Consider the following 20,112-nt stretch of genomic DNA (forward strand, 5'->3'; position numbering starts at 1 on the left):
AATCCTGGCACCATCCCAATCTTGCAATGTAACCTTGGGCAAGTCATTTAATCTCTCTGAGACTCAGCTGCTTTATCTGTAAGTTGGATATAACGGCTGGCTGCTGCCCTTCCAGTCTTAAAGGTTGTCAGAGAGCTCAAATGGAATATGTGTAAAAAGATTTTACAAATTGCTTTACAAATGCAGAGATCTTTAAAGATGAAGGGTTGACCCCAGGCACTTTTCTCCTTTCTCCCAAGACACCACTAACATTCCAGAAGAGGAATTAAAAAAGGTACAAGCCCATAGATGAATAGAATGACAGGGAAGGGCATCTCAGTAGAAGAGAAATTTCAACAAGTGTATGGAAGTACAAGAGAGTAGCACAAGGACAGGATGACACAGCCCAAGTACCTAGAGCCAATCTGCACATGGAAAATTCTAAGAGGTGGGTGGAGGATGGGGAGGGAGCATGGCCCTAAAAATGAGAATCAGTTGTGAGTCTGTAAGCAGAACCATCAAGCCTACACTCCCCCTACCCCACCAAAAACCATGGCAGCCAAATGCTTAATGTCCAGCAGAGGAGGAGGAGAGATGGAATCAGACTATTAGTTCCTCTGTTAAAAAAAAAAAAAAAAAAAGGTATCATTTACAGTTAAAAGATCTGGCCGTTCTAGCAACAAAAGGGCCAGGAGCATCATGAACAACTTCAGACACAGAGCTCCTATCAGTTTTTATTTCAAGGTTAAATATGGATAGATAGCCAAGGGTCACCTGGTCAACCTGAAGTGAGACCAAGATAACCCATCAGATAAAATGACCACAAAGACAACTATTGGAGGAACAAAACAGAACTTAAAAATATTCTACTTAGGGTACAAAGAAAGAACTCTTGTGGGGGAGGGGTTCACCAGAAGAGCTGGAAGATGAAGTCAAGGGATTTTCCCAGTATGTGGAAGCAAAAAGAGGAGAGAAAAAAGATAAAATTAAAAGATATGACCAGCCTGAGCAATGTAACAAGATCCCATCTCTACAAAAAAATGTTTGAAAAACATCAGCCAGGTGTGGCTGCATGCGCCTATAGTCCCAGCTACTCAGGAGGCTGAGGCGGCAGGATTGCTTGAGGCCAGGAGTTCAAGGCTGCAGTAAGCTATGATCACACCACTGCACTCCAGCCTGGTTGACAGAGCAAGACCTTGTCTCAACAACAATAAAAAGATATGAGTACTAGAGGTACAATCCAGAAGTATAGGATTATTAGATTAAAGAGAAGAAGTAGAGAGAAATGGAGAAGAAGGAATATAAAAAGATTTGAGAGAAAGTTGAAGAGTCTGGACACAAACTCCAAATAAAAAGATTCCACATTTCAGAACTGTAAAGATTCCAGAGGAAAAAAAAATGGATACTTCCAAAGAAATAAAACAACCATTCTCATGCTTCTCATGTATCCCTAGATGCTAAAAGATGGTAGAGAAGGTCTTCAACATCCTAAGGGAAAATGATTTTCACCTAAAATACCAACCCACCAGACTAGCAATCAAACCAACAACCCCACAACCCACCACACCAACAATCAAACCAACAACCCAACAATCCACCACACCAACAATCAAAACAACCCAACACACCAGCAATCAAACCAACCCAACAATCCACCACACCAACAATCACAACAATAATCCAATAACTCATCACACCAACAATCAAAACAACAACCCAACAACCCACCACACCAACAATCAAAACAACAACCCAACAATCCACAACACCAATCAAACCAACAACCCAACAACCCACCACACCAACAATCAAAACAATCCAACAACCCAACACACCAACAATCAAATCAACCCAACAATCCACAACACCAATCAAACCAACAACCCAACAACCCACTACAACAACAATCAAAACAATCCCACAACTCACCACACCAACAATTAAACCAACGATCCAACAACCCACCACACCAACAATCCAAACAGCAACCCAACAACCCAACACACCAACAATCAAACCAACCACCCACCACGCCAACAGTCCAAACAACAATCCAACAACCCGTCACACCAACAATCAGGTAAAAGGGAAGAATCCAGTCATTTAGACACAAAAGGACTCAAAACCTTACCTCCCACCTGTCACTTCTTGGTATTTACTTGAGAATGGGTGGAAGTAAAAGGAAGAAGTAAACACAAAAGAAGCTATAGGTTCTAAGCAAAGGTGAATCCAACCTCAGAAGGCAGAGAAAAGAAGCCCCAAAACAACAGCCACATGACCCAGCAAGAGGGCAGCCAGACTGGAGCAAGATGATGAAGAGAAACCCTAAAGGGAATGCCTGACCGATGGAGAGGCAGGGAAATAGATACAGCTATAATAGAGGAAACAAGGGGAAAAAGATGGCTAGAAGCTCCAGAAAAAGAAAGAAACATGTACAAGAAAGTTGATGGAGTCCTGGTGCCTCCCTGGCCTTCAGTGAACAATATCTACATCATCCCAATAATGGAAAACACTATTTGTTATTCTTCAAATTTTAGAGTTAATCTCTAGAAAAAGCTTCAAAAAGGGCTTGGTATGGTTACAAATAGAATACAAATGTTATCGGCCTTGTCATTTTAAAAGTCAACGCATGGATGACAGAAGCGATAGGCTGGAGGGGGAACTGCAGAGTAGGAATAATTTTAATATCCTTATCTTATACAGTGCAGGATTAAGAGATACTGTTGATATTTGGTAGAACAAGAAATCGATTACTTAGGTAATCTATAGACAGACTAAAAATATTAATACCCCTCAATTGTGGAAATGTGGGAGGGAGCTGGGCACTAATTGTAATGAAATGAGAGTGATTCTCTCTTTACTCTTCTTTCTCCCTCTTTTTTTTTCTTTTTTTTTGAGACGGAGTCTTACTCCGTCGCCCAGGCTGGAGTGCAGTGGTGTGATCTCGGCTCACTGCAAGCTCCGCCTGCTGGGTTCACGCCATTCTCCTGTCTCAGCCTCCCGAGTAGCTGGGAATACAGGCGCCTGCTACTACGCCTGGCTAATTTTTTGTATATTCAGTAGAGACGGGGTTTCACAGTGTTAGCCAGAATGGTCTCGATCTCCTGACCTCGTGATCCACCCGCCTCGGCCTCCCAAAGTGCTGTGATTACAGGCATGAGCCACCGCGCCCAGCCTTTCTCCCTCTTTTCTTTCACAGCCTCCTGTTTGCACCCGGGTCTCACCCACTCCCTCTGTCCACTTATTCATTTAACACATGAGTACTGAGCTGGCATAGGGCCAGACTCAGAGATGCCGAAGCCTGGGTCCTGGCCCTCCAGGAACCTCCACCTGGCAGAGGACAGAGACTTGTGAACACTGCAATGGCACAAAAGGGGCTCCCAGTCCAGAGAGTGGGCATTTGCCCAGCTGGCCTTTGCTCCCAGCCTCTTTCTTGGTCTCAGTACTGGGCTCAGCACAGAGCTCCCAGTGGCAGAAAAATGGGGAAGGGTGACAGGAGACGCTGGCCTGGGGAATTCTCCAGCATGACCCCCATCTGGGTGTGAGCACAGGCAGCAACTGAAGATTCTTATTTTAAAATAAAGGGGCTCTAGATGACAGGTGTAAATAATTTTAGTAAGAATTAGTGACAATGAGTTTTCATAACAAATCATCATGGAGTCGTTCTTCATGTATCTGACACTGTCAGGGAGGGAGGCATTTTCCATGTGGGGATTTTCTGGCTGACTGACTTTTACCACTGATTTCAGCAATTGTGGATCAGAATTGTTCCCAGATGAACCATACACCTCCCTGTCTCCTCAAACAAAACACCAGCTGACATTCTGCAGGCCCGAAGGGGCAAAGCACATCCATCAGCCCCTCCATTCACAGATGGACTTTAACCTTTTCCCAAAGACTGAGGGTTGGACCCTCTATGAGTCCTCCTCATGGCACTGGGCTGGAGCACAGTGAAGCCCCCGGGTCCCAAGATAGTGTCAGAACCACTCAGATCAGAGGCCGGCCTCTGCAGCTCTCTGATTTCAGCCCTGGAGGACCTGCTGACCCTCAGCTTGGGGACTCAGGAAAGGAGGCACACACACTCATGCCCCAGGAACAGCCCAGCCTCTCGTTCCCTCTCAGACTCCCAGGGCTTGGGGTCACAGAGAGGTAACTACTGTAGAAGAGGGAGGGCATGCAAAGCCCAGCTCAGCCAGGGGCCCCAGCTAGGATGGCTGCTCACCCTAGGAGCCCAGCCCCTGGGGACAGAGAGGGTGCCCCAAGGCAGAGATGAGAACCAAAGCCAAATGTGGAGAGGCCCAAACACCACCAATGGGAGTCCATAACAGGGACAAGTGATGGCAAGTGGAATCGATGGAAGGTGACTGTCTCTCATGTTCCTCTCTAAAGAGAGTGCAGAGACCATGGGCTAGTACAGTCAGACCATGGGGACATATGAGGTTGTCCATGACACTGAACAGTGTTTGTGTTTTGAGCTCAAAACAATGGCCCTGGGTTATTTCTAATCTGGCCCTAAATGGAAGCTGTGACAGGGGCTGTTGTGGGCTGAAGTGTGTCTCCCTAAAATTCGTATGCTTAGGTCCTAACCCCCAGGACCATATAATGAAACCGTATTTGGAGATAGGGCCTTTTTTTTTTTTTTTTTTTTTTTTTTTTTAGGTGGTGTCTTGCTCTGTCAGTTATGCTGGAGTGCAATGGCACAATCTGGGCTCACTGCAACCTCCACCTCCCGGGTTCAAGCAATTCTCCTGCCTCAGCCTCCCGAGTAGCTGGGATTACAGGTGCGTGCCACCATGCCTAGCTAATTTTTGTATTTTTAGTAGAGACAGGGTTTCACCATGTTGGCCAGGCTGGTCTCAAACTCCTGACCTCAGGTGATCCACCTGCCTCAGCCTCCCAAAGTGCTGGGATTACAGGCATGAGCTACCGCAGGGATAGGGCCTTTAAAGAGGTAATAAAGTTAAAATGAGGCCATCAGAGTGAGCCCTGATCCAATATGACTGATGCCCTTACAAAGAGAGATTAGAGCACAGGCAAGACTCAGACCCGGGGCAACCATATAGGGACACAGCAAGAAGAAGGCCATTGGCAGGCCAAGGAGAGAGGCCTCAGAAGAAGCCAGCTCTGCAGTATCTTCATCTCAGACCCCTGGCCTCCAGAATTGTGGAAGAATTAAGTCTTGTGTACCTTGTTACAGCAAACTGATACAGGACCTAACAGCAACATACAGAAAATACATGCATAGAGGGATGGGAAGTTCCCCAGAAGGATGACCCCATTCATAGGATTTCTTAAATCTTCCTGTCCAGACCTTCAAGGAACCATGAAGAAACTATACATTTTATAATTTAAAAAAATTAGTCAGCTGGGTGCGGTGGCTCACGCCTGTAATCCCAGCACTTTGGGAGGCCAAGGCGGGTGGATCATGAGGTCAGGAGTTCAAGACCAGCCTGATCAAGATGATGAAACCCCCGTATCTACTAAAAATATAAAAACTAGCCTGGCACAGTGGCAGGCACCTGTAATCCCAGCTACTTGGGAGGTTGAGGCAGGAGAATTGCTTGAACCCGGGCGACAGAGGTTGCAGTGAGGCGAGATGGCACCACTGCACTCCAGCCTGGGTGACAAAGTGAGACTCCATCTCAAAAAAAAAAAAAAAACAGAAATTAGTCATTTATTCTCTGAAATCTTGAAGGTGTGCTTTCAATCACAGTGCTCTGGATTTGCACAGTAAAACATGGAAGGGCCTGAAAGCTTTGAATTCTGAGAAGACAGACTCTCTGCTACCAGCTTCTGAACTTGGCTCCAACAGCCATTTTTGCCACTAAATCAAAACTCCTTGGAGGCATGTTTAAAATACCAACCAGCTCACATGCCCCAGGCCCTGCTTAAAACCATTCCCGTGGCTCTCATGGCCCTTGGATAAAGGTAAAACCCAAACCTGGGTCTGTATCATGAAGCCCCACATGGTCTGGCCCTACCTGACCCTCTAGCAATGCAGCTTCCGTGTCTTCCCCGCCGGCATTCGAGCTGCCCCATCCTTCAGAGCCCGGGACACAGCCAGCTCCCTCCTGGCATAGGGCCTTTGTACAGACTGTTCCCTCCACCTGGAGTCCTCCTGGCCTAGTTAACTCCTGTCACACTTCAGACTGGAGCTCCAGTGTCCCTTCCTCAGAGAAGCGTTGCCTGACATCCTCCCCCTAGTCCCAGCCTGGGTCAAGTTCCCTGTCACTACCCCAGCTCCTTAGGGTAACTAGCTATTAATGTCTGTCCCCCTCAGTGGCTGTGAGTTCCACAAGGGTGGGCACCACAGTGGTATGTGTTCAGCTCAGGGCTCAGTGAAACTGATAGGTGGTGTCTGTATCCCACCTTCTCTGGAGAGGGTACAGAGACCATGGGTTAGTACAGGGGCCATAAACAATGCAGCTAATCCCAGCTGGATGCTGGTCTCACCCTTGGAGCTTTCCAGGAACCGCTGAGCTATGGAGTCTGTGCATGACAGTCCAGAAAAGCTGCTGCTACTAGTTCCAAAAAGGAAAGGAAGGAAGGAAAGAGAGAGACGGGTGCTGACATTTATTGAACACCTATGATGTGCGCTACTGAGCATGAAGGCTGCTGGGCTATCTACTTTCTTTTTTTATTTTATTTTATTTTATTTTTTGAGACGGAGTCTCGCTCTGTCACCCAGGCTGGAGTGCAGTGACGTGATCTCGGCTCACTGCAAGCTCCACCTCCTGGGTTCACGCCATTCTCCTGCCTCAGCCTCCAGAGTAGCTGGGACTACAGGCGCCTGCCACCACGCCTGGCTAATTTTTTGTGTTTTTTTTAGTAGAGATGGGGTTTCACTGTGTTAGCCAGGATGGTCTCGATCTCCTGACCTTGTGATCCTGGGCTATCTATTTTCACATGCCTTATTTCGGCTAGTCTACAGCAACCCTTAAAGGGTAGGTAATAGTGTCCCCATTTTCAAAGGTAAGGAAAGGCTCAGAGAAGTTAAGACATTTGCAGAAAGATTCACATATGCCAAGGCCCAGAGTCAGCTTTAGATCTCAGGTCTGCCCACCCCAAAACCCATGCTCTTCCCCTGATGCACACTAGTTGGAATCACATCAGATGGGTAAAGGAACAACGGTCCCTGCCTGAGGGCCAGGGACCCCAGATGCCCCTGGGGTTATGTCAGGGGACCGATGAGTCCATCTGAGCACCCAACATTGCCTGCCTCTGAATAAACTATATTTTTTCCACATCCAGATGTAACTGTTTGCAAATAAATACAGATTCTGTCATGACTAATATAGTACCAATTCTTCTAAATGGGTTTGCTGAATTCATGGCAGTTCTGTGAAGGGCGGAAACCCAGGTGGGCACATGCATGCTAAAATGTTCAGCATTTAATGTGCTTTCCCTCCTGTGGGTTGAAAAGAGCTATAGGTGATGCATTGTTAAGTGGGGAGTGGGGAGCACAGCTCTTTTACCATTTATGTAAAAAAAAACTTTTTAAATCTCCATACATAGATTCTTATTCATGCATTGACTCTGCAAGGATACCCAAAGCCACATCGTCACCTCTGGGGAGAACTCGGTGGCTCTTCATTGAATAACCATCTGTACTGCACAAATTTTGTATCACCTAAATAATTTAAAAATCCAAACTTTTAATAAAATTAAAACCATCAAAGGTGATAGCAAGAGGGCAACGCTTAACCCTGCGGTGCAACATACTGAATTTCAGGCAAAACAGTCCTGTGCCCTCTTCAATTTCTACACAAGAGGAGCCAGTAATGATAATCAGAGACCAGTAATTGAGGCGGGGACTTTAACACCGAGTCACCAGAGGTGACCTTGCAAACTTGGCCTTTTGTCATAAAACAGGCACAATCATCACTGTGTTCCAGCCCTCCAGGGCTTTCCGAATGCCAGTGGCTCTGGGGAAGGAGACCTACTTTTCGCTCTATAGGAACCTACCATGTGTTTCCTGTTTCCTTCCACCCTTGCCCCCACGCACTCACCCCCAACCCCTGCCCCACCTCCACATGCTCCCTGCACCCACCACAAATGGCCACACTCACATGGACAGCACCTTCACTTCCAATATTTCGTGCCTCAGCTCCAGGCATCTTGTGGAGTTATATTCAAAAGGCCCCTCATAAAATTCAAAGTACCTGGGGACCAACAGAGACAGGTTAAACAGAGAAGCAGGTCAGGATGTCCAGGGCCTGCAGGGGCTCTTGTTGCAGGGTGGAGTGTCTGTCCCAGTGAAATAAATAAAGCCAACCAGCCCCATCCCAGCAGATGTCCCATTAGGGGCTTCAGGCAGACCATGGGGCCCTCTGGCTTGATCACTGGGTGGTCAGTTACTCTCAGCGCCCCACTCCCTTGGGAGTGTAGGCATTTACAGAGGCATAAACAGATTTCAGCACACAGGGAAATTCAGAAGCAGGTTTGGTTCCAAGTTTGTGGCTGGGAAGGAGAGGGGAGGAGGAGGGATGCTGTGTGTACTGTGATCAGAGAAAGCAGAGAGACCAGAGCCATTCTGGCGCAGCACTGGGAGTCCGACAGTGAGCCTTCAGGCCTCCAACTTGCCCTTCCATTCCCTGCCCCTTTCCCACTTGATCCTCGTGCCTACACTGTGACATAGCTGAGACTGATGGGCCTTTCTCCCCATTTGGCAGCTGACAATACTGAGGCTAATCAGACAGGGCTCCAGGTCATACTGTCCGTGTAGGGCAGGACCAGGGCTTGGTCTAGGTCTACTTGCAGAACAGAACAAGCCCCTTCCAGCACCAGCTGGCTCCAGGCATGTCACAGCCACCTCAGGGTCCCTCTGCCAGCTTCATGCAGAATATCAATGCCAATTTCAACCAACACTTACTAAGCCCTTACCATAGGCTAAGCACCAGGCCAAGCATTTGATGTGAATGGATGCATTCACTTTTAATCTTTCTAATCAGCCTATGAGGAAATTGACACAAGCATCCTGAACAGGCTCTAGGAATTAACTAAGGTGCCCAGACCCCCGGAGCTGGAAGGTGGCAGAGCCAAGATGGGAACCTGCATGCTGACTCAAGGCTGCTCTTTCTGCCACTTGGCTATGAGCACGGCTGGTGTCCCCTGGAAAGGGCCCTCTGGCCTCCTGTGGCAGAGGCCCGGTGAGCCCTCTCCTCACAGCCCCCCTCCTCCTGGCGGTTGTTCAGAGGCAGGGGTGGGTGGAGCTTGGAGGGTTGGATCCCAGGACAGCCTTAACATCATGAATCCAGAAGCCTGCAGGGCCAAACCACTATAAACATGGGATCAGTGGCCTGGCAACACGTAGTCTGCAAGAATCAGAGGTGAGAGGGGCTCCCCAGGGCCAAGGATTGGAAATTAGGCATCGCTCAAGCATCTCCCAGAAACCACTACACACAGCAGTGGTCATTTCGCACGTACCCTTACACACTGGACAAACTTATGTATGTGCTGCTTTAGAAATCTTGAAATATTTTACCCAATATATTGGCTTCTTTTAAAAATATTGGTATTTTTATTATTATTATCATTGTATTTGTATTGTCATTTTGTCATTAAAATAATACTGTGATACTTTAAAAGTTATGTTTATAAATATTTGTCCTTAATAATTTTAATATAGTTTTAAGTACTATAATTACATATTTAAATAATTTTACATAATATTTTAAGATATTAAAATATTTTCCACAACAAATTGGTCCCTATTTACAAAATAAATTGGCTCCTTGTTCTCATGTCATAAAAGAATTTAGACCAAGTTAATAAGAACTAGGTATTGAAGATTCCCAAAATATCAAACACCTTTGTGTCTTACAGCTCCTTTTCTTTCTCATCTGGCAAACTCAAATGGATTCTTCAGTACCCGGCTCGAGTAACCACACTGCTGGGAAGCCTCCTCTGACCCTGACCCTGGGCTACCCCTGCTCACTGTCTCTTAGAGCAAATAACATGGTATTGGGTTGGTACAAAAGCAATTGCAGTTTTTGCCTTTTTTTTTAAGTAATGGCAAAAACCACGATTACTTTTGCACCTACATAATAGTACAATTGTGTGTTTATGTAATTGTGTTCCTTTCCAAACCACGAGCATCTCAAACACAGAGACAGTGTCTTTGTTATCTCTATATCTTCTGTACTACAGAGGGAGGAAAGCTAAAAATGACATTTCCCAGACTCCTTTGCAGGTAGGGTTCTGGATGCAATTTAGGTTCAGCCAGTTAGAAGCATTTGCATGAGATGGATTCAGACCTGTTATAGGGGAAGAATGGCAAGGCTCAAGGCATGGTTTTGCTGGTGCAGAATGTGGCAGAGGTGGCATGGCTCTTGGAAACTGCAGTAGTGGTAACACCTTCATGATTATATCAGAGGCAGCAGCTTTCACGGTGGCCCCATTTCACTGCAATTTGGGGAGGAATTCTTGGAAGTTCAGCCATTTCTTCAGCTTTCCCCATGAATCTGAGCTAGCTGTGCCCTTAATAAATCCTTTTCTGCTTTAACTAGCTAATGTAGATTCTGTTATCTGCAAATAAGAACAAGGGGTCAGCCTAGGGCCACAAAACGAGCCCATGACCTTGGCTCTAACTCACCTAATTTTCCAGTCACACAACAGTGAGCTCTGGTGTCCTATCACAAAGATCACTGTTTGTAACATGAGCTGGTGTCAACTAAGCCCTTTGGAATCCACTGAGTCAGGTAAAGTCATGGTCCTAGGTTGCTGCTAAGAAAAGGTCCAGATTCAAATGATGCAGGAAATCATTAGGTCGAGACTTATCCTAGAGTTATTGGGGAATTGGGGACTTGCAGACACATCTCGGATATGGCTACAAACCAGCTGTGTGACTTTGGGTAAAACTTCCCCTCTCTGCATCTCTTTTTTCTCCTCTTTAAAACAATCTGTTTGAACTAGGGTAGTACCTCCTCTTCAATCAGCCAGCCCTTCCATTTCCTCCACAAAGGCATTCCTGCCTTGCCTCTTCCTTGGTTCCTCTTTCTCCTGCATCCTCAACATCACTCATATACCCAACTAGGCAGCATCATGATTCCAAATGACCTTGTGCCGTGGTTTTGGTGGTGCTTAGGTAGAGAGGCTTTCAGAACTGGGTTCACATCCCTCCACCCCTCATTGGCCTCTGTATGGTCTGAATGTTTGTGTCTCCTCTACAATTCATATGTTGAGATCCTAACAGGCAAGGTAATGGTATTAGGAGGTGGGGCCACTGGGAGGTACTGCAGGCAGAGCCCCCATGAATGGGATCATTGCCCTTACAAAAGAGGCCCAAGAGAGACTCCTCTTCCCTTTTACTATGTAAGGATACAGCAAGGAGATGCTGTTTATGAACCAGGAAGTAGGTCCTCACCTGAAACTTAATCTGCCTTGATCTTGGACTTCTCAGCCTCCAGAACTGTGAGCAATACATTTCTGTTGTTTATAAGCTAAGTCACTCAGTCTATGGTATTCTGACAGCCACATTAGGCCTGGCACTTTTCTGCTCCTTTGTTTTCTCAGCTGCAAATCAGCAAAAACAATGCAGTGCATGTGCGACAGGGTTGAGAAAAAACACTGCTGAGCATTTCATGGAATCCACTGGCACACAGGAACTACCCCAAAAATGCTCATTCCCCTCTGTCCTCTTTGTCCCGCCACTAAAGAGCACGTGATACCAGTGGATGCCCCAGGAAGTCCCAGGGAGTCAGAGACAGTCTCTGATGGTAAGCTGGTTGATGGCAGGCCTGAGTCAGGGATGAACAACTCGAAGTTTCTCACTGTGTGCACTGGTGACATCCTCCTTCTGCTGTGATTAGTAAACCTCTCCCCTGTCACCCTGTGGATAAAGCCCACACTAAGTCCTGCTTGGACATGGACCTGCTTGATCACCTCATCTCACTGAGGCTCATTAACCATGTGCTTCTGATGCTTTGACACCTGGGGCCTTGCTGACCCTGGAGGGACTGCCTCTTCTAGGGCTAGCCAATTCCTGGAGATAGTAAAGGACTAGCCTGTGAGTGCACCTTTCATTTGCAAACCAATCCAGAGCCCATGCCCCTATCAGGCTCCCATACTCTTGGACACTGGAATAGCTCTTCCCCACTCACCCCAGGGCCAGGTCCTAGGCAACTAGGGATAACCCCTATGCCCCAGAACCCACTGAAATTACTCAGATCAACCAATCCTAAACCTGCAAACCCTGCCTCACCAGTTCCTTTCCATGGAAATCCCAACGACGGCTCTTGCCCACACTTCCCCCTCGCTCCCTCTGCCTCCTTACTGATCTGGGTGCTTCTTCCCATGGTCCTGCAGGGCCTCCTGTTTCTAGGGATCTGTGAGTATCAAAACCTCTTCCTTCATGACAGTCATTTCCATATTTTCGTGTCTTACCATATCCGATTAAAACAAATCCCAGGCACCCTGAAAACACTCCAGGTAGTACCTTAGCCAAGTCATCAAAACTATTCCATGCCTGAGTCTAAAGCCTCAGTTTTCCCATCTGGAAAATGGAGCTAATAGCCCTGGCTTCCTTCTCTATCCTACCTGGGCTCTGCTTTTTTGGTCCGTACTGCTCTAGCTCAGTCTGTAGAGATGATTGACTTGAGGTTGCTATGGTCTAAATGTCTGTATCCCCAATACAAACATTAAGTTTCATGTTTAAACTTAATCCACAATGTGATGGTATTAAGAGGCAGGGCCTTTGGGAGGTAATTAGGTTATGAGGTCTCTGCCCTCAATGATGGGATTAGGCCCTTATAAAAGAGGCTTCAAACAGCCTTTTGCCTTTCCACCATGTGAGGATGCAGCAAGAAGCTGCCATCTATGAGGAACGGGCCCTCGCCAGACACCAAATCTTCTGCCACCTTGATCTTGGACTTCCCAGCCCCCAGCACTGTGAGAAATTAATTTCTCCTGTTATAATTATAAACGACCCAGTCTAAGCTATTTTGTTATGGCAGCCCAAAAGAACTAAGATAGGAAATAAGATTTTGAGAAGCACTGTCCCATATTCTGCTTCTAACAGGACGCTCAAGAACTGCATTTTGGAGGGTGTCATGGAAATTCATGGAAATTCCCATTTGGTCTGGATACAGATATACAGACATCAAAAATGTTGCTTAAAGTTTTTTTGTCTAATGACATAAGAAGATGCTCACATGACAATGTTGAGTAAAAAAATGCAAGTTACAAAACTATGATCTCCAAAAAGAATTATATATACGTATGTGAAAGCATGGGCAAAGGGAAGAATTGTAACACAATATTAATAGGGGTTTCTCAGAATAAATGGGATGATGCGTTATTTTTTTAAATACTTTTCTGTGTTTTTATAAGTTTTCTGCAATGGGGTTATGATTCTTTTATTATTGGAAATCACTAATAAATTCTTTTTTAAGTCCCAGACCTTCTTCTAACTATCTCAAGCTTCCCCTTACCCTGTTACAAGATTGAGGGAAGCACTTTCTCCAACCTTCTTAAACTCCACTAGCCTCTCAAGGTGAGTTCGTCACTGTCTCTACTTTCAATGCTAGAAAGACTATCTTTACCCACATCAAAGGGGAGGGCACCCTGGCACCATGTAGGGCATCTCACAGGTATAAATAGTCCCAGCGGGTGATATCAGGAGCCCAACTCCTCTCAAATGCCACTCAGTTTCCAGCAGCCAAATATGATGCTGGTGCCAGGCTGCATCATTCTGCCCCATCTCTCTGCCCTCCACTAAGTGAGAAGACAAATGCAGAAGGCCAGAAAGAGGTGAACACAGTGGCCCTGGGCATCAGTTCTCTCCCTGCCCAGACTGGGCTCCAGCTCTGTGGGCTAAGGAGGCCTCCTTTCTTTTTCTTCCTTTCCTTCTTTCCTTCTTTCTTTTCTTTCTTTCTTTCTTTCTTTCTTTCTTTCTTTCTTTCTTTCTTTCTTTCTTTTTCTTTCTCTCTCTTTCTTTTTCTTTTTCTTTCTCTCTTTCCTTCCTTCCTTCTCCCTTCCCCTTCCCCTTCCCCTTCCCTTCCCTTCCCTTCTCCTTCCTTCCTTTCTTCCTTTCTTTCTTTCTCTCTTTTTTTTTTTTTTGATGGAGTCTCGCTCTGTCACCCAAGCTGGAGTGCAGTGGCATGATCTCGGCTCACTGCAAACTCCCCCTCCCGGGTTCAAGTGATTCTCCCGAAGAGGCTCCTTTCAGCATGCCCAGGGTCTGGCCCTCTGAGAGCCTGGGTCTGTAATTCCTATGAGCCTTTCCCCAAAAGCCTGCCCCACAGAGGCTCCCCTGTTGGCCTGATTCCCTCTCCAGAGCTTCTCCAGGGCCATGTTTCCTTTCTTGGGGGCAACAGTACTCTGGGTCCCAGCAACCACTGGCTGCTACAAGATGAGGTCCATGCATTCAGCTTTCTATCTAACACTTCCCCATCCCCACCCCCAGACACTGATGGTACTCCAGAGAATAGAAGCCCAGGGGGGTCCCTGTGTCACGCACAAACACCTGTTAAATCTCCACTAGCCCTAGGTGAACAGGGAAACTAATCTGAACACCTAGACTCCTGTCCAGCTTGGTGCAGAGTCTCAGAGAACCATGGAGTTGTTTATTTATTCCACACTGGTTAGAGACACCACTAGCCCATATAGCGCCTCTGTGCAAATAAGGAAAAAGCACCATTTTCCCCAGATAAATTAAGCCACATGCACCAGACACATGGCTGGTCAAGTGAGAGTAAGCTGTACTTCAGCCTCACTTGACTGCCTGGCTGAGTATCTTTGTGCAGTGCCCACCCTGCACAACTGTCCATGACAGCCTGATACCAGACCATTTAACTTGGTCTCATTTAATCCTCCCAATAGCCCTATGAGGCAAGCATAATTTCCCCCATTTTATATCTGAGACTTGAACTACAAGAGGTAAAGTAACTTGCCCAAGGTCATTCAGCTAGTAAATGGTGGCACTGGAAAAGAAACCTGAGGACTGTGAGAGCCCGGAACCCCTGCTCTTAACAGTGTCACTGCACTTCCTCTCCCTGACTCTGACAGCCATCGTTCTCTGGGGGGTTTTCTCAGTCAGCAGCCCTTCCCCCTCCCAAAGGCAACAGCCCTTCAGTGAGCTCAGCGCTATTTCTAGAGCCAGAACAGCTGCCGTCTCGAGATAGCACACGACCCGTCACAGCAAACGCACAGAAATCAGTCTGAAAATTGCAGCCTGACAATTCAAAGGACTGAAGTGTCTTCCCAGATAGGTAGGAGAGAGGCAAGAACAGCTCAGCTGTTAACAACTGCGGGTCACAGCTGTCAGGAGACATGCCATGGCAGTGGAGAGCCCCGGCTCCAACCCCTGGCTGGTCCATGGCCCGGCTCAGCAGCCTTGAACTTCACCTGCCCTCTTTGGGCCACAGTTCACTCATCTGTCCCCAGGAATTATCAGAGCTGTTTTGAGATATCAGAACTGGATGCTAAAAAGCCTGATGTTCTCAGTGCAACCCTAAATAGTCCTGGGATTAATCTGCCCCAGGTGTGCACCTCACACCAAGCCTGAGGGTCATTTCTGGCACAGGGTGGGGGTTGGGGGTAGCAGGGCAAAGCCTGGTGTCTAGCTTCATTCCTCCTTCCCCACCCCGGAGTTCTGCAGGGCCCCAGATCCAGTGTTTAACATATTCCCTGTGAGAGTATGTACATGATGACCTTATTTTCCAGGCCAGACTAGGGAGCCCTGAAAGGCTTCCCTTTGTAAAATTCAGCTCAACAGCCAGGAATGCCTCAGTGTGTGAATGCTAGCACTGGCCAGTGCCCCTACTGCTTCTCATGGACTTTGACCACCATGCCCACAGGCACCCTAGCCAAGAGATACATCCTAGCTGCCTCCTTCTCCTTCCTTCATCTTCCGCCAACTCTCACCACTTCTCCTTCCTGAGTAGTCCCCATCTCCACCCCAGTGCCAGGGAAAGGATTCGGTCTTCTCCCCCCTGGGGGAGTCTCTCTGTCTGGAATACTCTTTGCTTTCTTGCTAGTCCCTGCCTACTCATTCAGCAGAGTCAGCCCAGGGGTCAGCTTCCACTGGCTCCCTTCGTGGCCCTCCCTCCTCTGTGCCTGCAGCCCCTGGGCACTCCTCCAGACCAGCTCTTATTATGTGGAATTACACACAGCTCCTCCATGGCCTGTCTGCGCTGTTGATGCGTGAGAAGGGTTTTTCTCCTCTTTGACTCATCAAAGATTTATAGACCCTCTACTGTGTGCCAGGAACTGTTTCAGGCCAGGATGCACTGATGAACTGGCCAGTGTCCCCACTCTCATGGCACTTCCACAGGGGCGACAATAAATGATTCATTCAATATAATGCCACATAGCCATAACTCTTCCAAAAAAAAAGCAGGACAAGGAATTGGAGGGTGCCTGGAAGGATAGTGGGTGGCCTAGGAAGGCCACTCTGGACAGGGGACATGAATAGAGGCATGGAGCCCTGTGCAGATGTGTGGGAAGAACTTCCCAGAGAAGGAAGTGAGTAAATACAATCACTTGCTCTGCAGTAGCAGCTGCCAATGTGGCTAGGCAGGGTTGTGGAGGTCAGAGAGGTGAGCAAAGCCAAGTCAAGCTGGGCCTGTGGGCCACCCAGTATCATGGGGACTCGGCAGAGGAACAACGTGATCTGATGTGGGGATAAAGGACTGTAAAGGGAGGGAGGGAGAACTATTGCAGCATGAAAAGACAGTCGATTGCACTAAGGGGTGGCAAAGAAAGTGGGGAGAAGGAGACAGACCCATGAAATAGTTTAGGAATGGAACCAGCAGGATGCATTGATAATTTAGAAAGTGAATAAATCAACAGTAACTCCTAGGACTTCAGCTTGAACAACTAGCGGGATGACATAACCATTTAAAGGTTAGAGAGATGAACAGGTTTGGGGTGTTGGGCCCTGTGAAGCTTCCTGTGCCCTCAGACATCTAGAGGAGATCACAGGTAGGCAGTCAGATGCACATGGCTGAGGCCCAGTGGTCAGGGCTGGGGATGCACATTCCAGAGTCAAAGGACAAGGGACTTCAGGAAACACTGGGAGAGAGTGCAGAGAGAAGAAGAAAGAGGGCCAAGGACAGGCCTGAGGTCAGCTCCCACATTCAGATGGCAGCAAATGACACTGAGAAGAAAGGTCTGCAGGTGGAAGAAAACCCAGACACAGAGCCCAGGGACATGGAAGCTAAGAGGAGGGAGCATTTCCAGGACAGATGGGCCATATGCAGTGCTGACCCATATGTCTTGGAAATGGGGGTCAAAGAAGAGGAGGACAGAGAAGGCACCACTGATCTAGCAACCAGGAAGTCATCAATGACCTTGACAAGAGCAGATTCAAGGGAGAAGGGAACAGATGCCCCTCTGCCGTAGGTGGAAGCAAGGCCAGGAGTGGGAAATGTTGGAGATGGTGCCATGGAAGTCTGCAGGTGAAGGAGGGCTGAGTGAGTGTCCGAAGACCTGGTCCTGGGGCAAGTGGAGAGGATGGGATGTCTCCCAAAGTGTAAAGGGATGGCTGGAGGAAGAAAAGAGAGACTTCAGTGTTCTGTGAGCCTCCAAAAGGCAAGCCTAAGAGCCCCAGCTGAGACTTAGGGAGGAAAGGTTTACAATCAGCCAGAGGAAGCACTTCGAACCAGGAGGCTCGCATGGGGAAGGATGGCCTCTTTGGGAGCTTCATGACCTGCTATCACTTACTAGCTTAGCAAGGTCTTGGTGGCCATCAAGTTGGGGGATGCCGGGCTATAAATGGAGACATGCAGTGGAAAACTGGAAGAGCCTCCAGCTGCCTTAACCTTGTGAGCATCCCCTAATCTAATGGGTGGGTGGATGCTTGGTCCTTCCAGCCCGACTCCAACTCCCTTTTCTTTCCTTCTTTCCCATTCTCATGCCTTCCCCTAGCCTCCTGCCTTTGCCAAGTGATTGGCATAAAATTCTCAAAGATGGTCTACAAGGGAGGAAGCACAGGATCGTGAAGAAGGAGAAGAGGGAGAATGGGTAGTGGAAGCTGAAGGGAGGAACGGAGTCTGGGGAGTTGACCTGCAGTGAAGAAGGGGTGAGGCCCTGACAGGCACTGCACCCAGCTGATCCGGCCTCCTCAGTTTACAGGAAAGCAGACAAGGCCCAGGGAGGGAGTGCTATCCCCCCACGGAAGTGCTGTGCGTCTGGGGCGAACCTAGGCCCACTCAGAGAACCCCAGGAGTGACTGAGCAGGGGGGGAAGAGACCCCCTCACTCCACCTCCACGGAGCCCTATGGGGACCTGTGAGGTGCTTTAACCTTGGAGCACTCAGGGAGTTACAGAGCCTGTGACCTCCTTTGTATCACCCCCAGAGTTGGGTTAATGACCTCAGTTTTGCAGATGAAGTAATTGAGGCACAGAAAGGTTTGTGTAAGTGGTTATTTGCCCAGGAGACTCCACAGAGACTCAAAAGCCATAAAGCTTTGGGTTCAGAGCACTCCTGGAGCAACCCTGACTTAAGGAGGAGGAGTCTCCCAGTGCCAACAACTCCACTTCCACCAGCAGCCTCAGCCGGCCGCAGCCTGGGTTCTGCCAGGCCCCAAGAAGCCCACATCAGGTTCATGGGACCAATGGGGGAAGCTGCCAAGTTTGTTTTGCTTTTTGTTTCTCCAGCATCCAGCCCAGAACATTCCACCAAACCTGCATCTCCAAATCCTTCCCAGTTGGGTGAAGCTCAACAGCTCTGGCCCTTTTTCCCTCCTTTTCTGCAGAAGAGAACATTGACCCGGAAGGCTGAAGTGAGCCAGCTGCACCTGCCACACAGGAGTGTGCTTCCTCCGCTGCTCTGCCTTCAGCCTGGACGATGGCATTCGGGACTGCAGGGGTCGCACTGCCCCCAAGGGCTCCTCTTTGAAATGTATAATTGCCAGGAGCAGGTGGAGGGATGCATTTTTCAGAGGCAACAATCAGAAAAACACTAAGCACACTTGGGAAGGCAGGAGGGAGGAGGACACAGAAGATAGAAAGTGGAAGAGATAGGGAAGGAGGAGATGAGAGACCCTAAAGATCATCTTGTCTGAGATCAACCCTGCAGCTTTGACAACAGTTGCACAGAAGTGATCTATTTTTTTTTTTTTTTAATTTTTTGAGATACGGTCTTACTCTGTCACCCAGGCTGGAGTACAGTGGCATGCTCTCAGCTCATAGTGGCATGATCTCAGCTCACTGCAGCCTCGAACTTCTGGGCTCAAGTGATCTTCCGACCTCAGCCTCCTGAGTAGCTAGGACTACAAGCATGCACCACCATGTCTAGCTATTTTTTTTTATTTTTATTTTTGGTAGAGACGAGGTCTTGCTATGTAGACCAAGCTGGTCTTGAACTCCTAGCCTCAAGCAATCCTCCCGCCTCAGCCTCTTACAAGTTCTGGGATTATAGGCATGAGCAACTGTGCCTGACCAGAAGTGATCTACTTAAATCAATATGGCCTTTTTATTATGGTCTAACAGCAAGGAGCTGAGGGCAGAAATAGAAGACCTGAAAGGACTTGGAAAGAAAAGACAAGGAGGCTCACCCAGCCCTGCATGAGCTGTCCACAGCCCAGAAGGAAGAACCCCTCTAACCCCTCCCATGAGTGCTGGGACTGTGGAGTCACACAGGATAGATAGATAGATAGATAGATAGATAGATAGATAGATAGATAGATAGATATAGTGCTCCAGCTCCACCCACCACCTGGAAGTGACCTAATCTTTTGGTGACTAAATTTCCTCATCTATAAAATGGAGGGTAATGAATACACCCACCTCAAATGTTTGAGGGTAAGGACTGAATGGGATAATACATGTAAGGCACCCAGTATAGTGCCTGGCCCCAGACACTCACTTGGCTCGCTCTTCAGCCAAGAGGACCCTCTTGTGTCATCTATTTGGGGCTTGCTCTTTTTTCCTGTAGCTGGTGCTACCCTGGCCTTGGGAGGTCTTCCACACTCCATCCCAGAAGCCCAGGAAGAAGGGTGCAGGGAGAAGGCTGTCCCACCCACAGGCAGCCTGGGCCAGCCCCGCTCCGGACCTCAGAGACAAGTGTCTCCTGAGTTGCCTTCCACACCTCCTCTTTGCCAGCCTGTTCCAGAGGTAAGACCCGGAGGGCCAAGATTGGTGTGGAGTATGGAAAGGGGGCCAGTGAGGCCAGCCAAGGAGCCTGCAGCT

At 48.0% G+C, this 20,112-nt stretch overlaps 1 protein-coding gene across 3 annotated transcripts in view; it reads right to left on the reverse strand.

Annotated features, from left to right (window-relative positions):
• The window catches only part of ST8SIA5 (ST8 alpha-N-acetyl-neuraminide alpha-2,8-sialyltransferase 5), an 89,233-nt gene that overhangs the window by 28,703 nt on the left and 40,418 nt on the right, over nt 1-20,112 (reverse strand). For 2 of the 3 annotated variants that reach the window (NM_013305.6, NM_001307986.2), the window contains one exon: nt 8,049-8,141. The exons of the other annotated variant lie outside the window; for it this stretch is intronic. In NM_013305.6, coding sequence (NP_037437.2) covers nt 8,049-8,141 — 93 coding nt within the window. The remainder of the gene's footprint in view (nt 1-8,048; nt 8,142-20,112) is intronic. 3 annotated transcript variants of the gene reach the window in all.

This window comes from Homo sapiens, chromosome 18, assembly GCF_000001405.40.
Source record: "Homo sapiens chromosome 18, GRCh38.p14 Primary Assembly".
Taxonomy (NCBI): domain Eukaryota; kingdom Metazoa; phylum Chordata; class Mammalia; order Primates; family Hominidae; genus Homo; species Homo sapiens.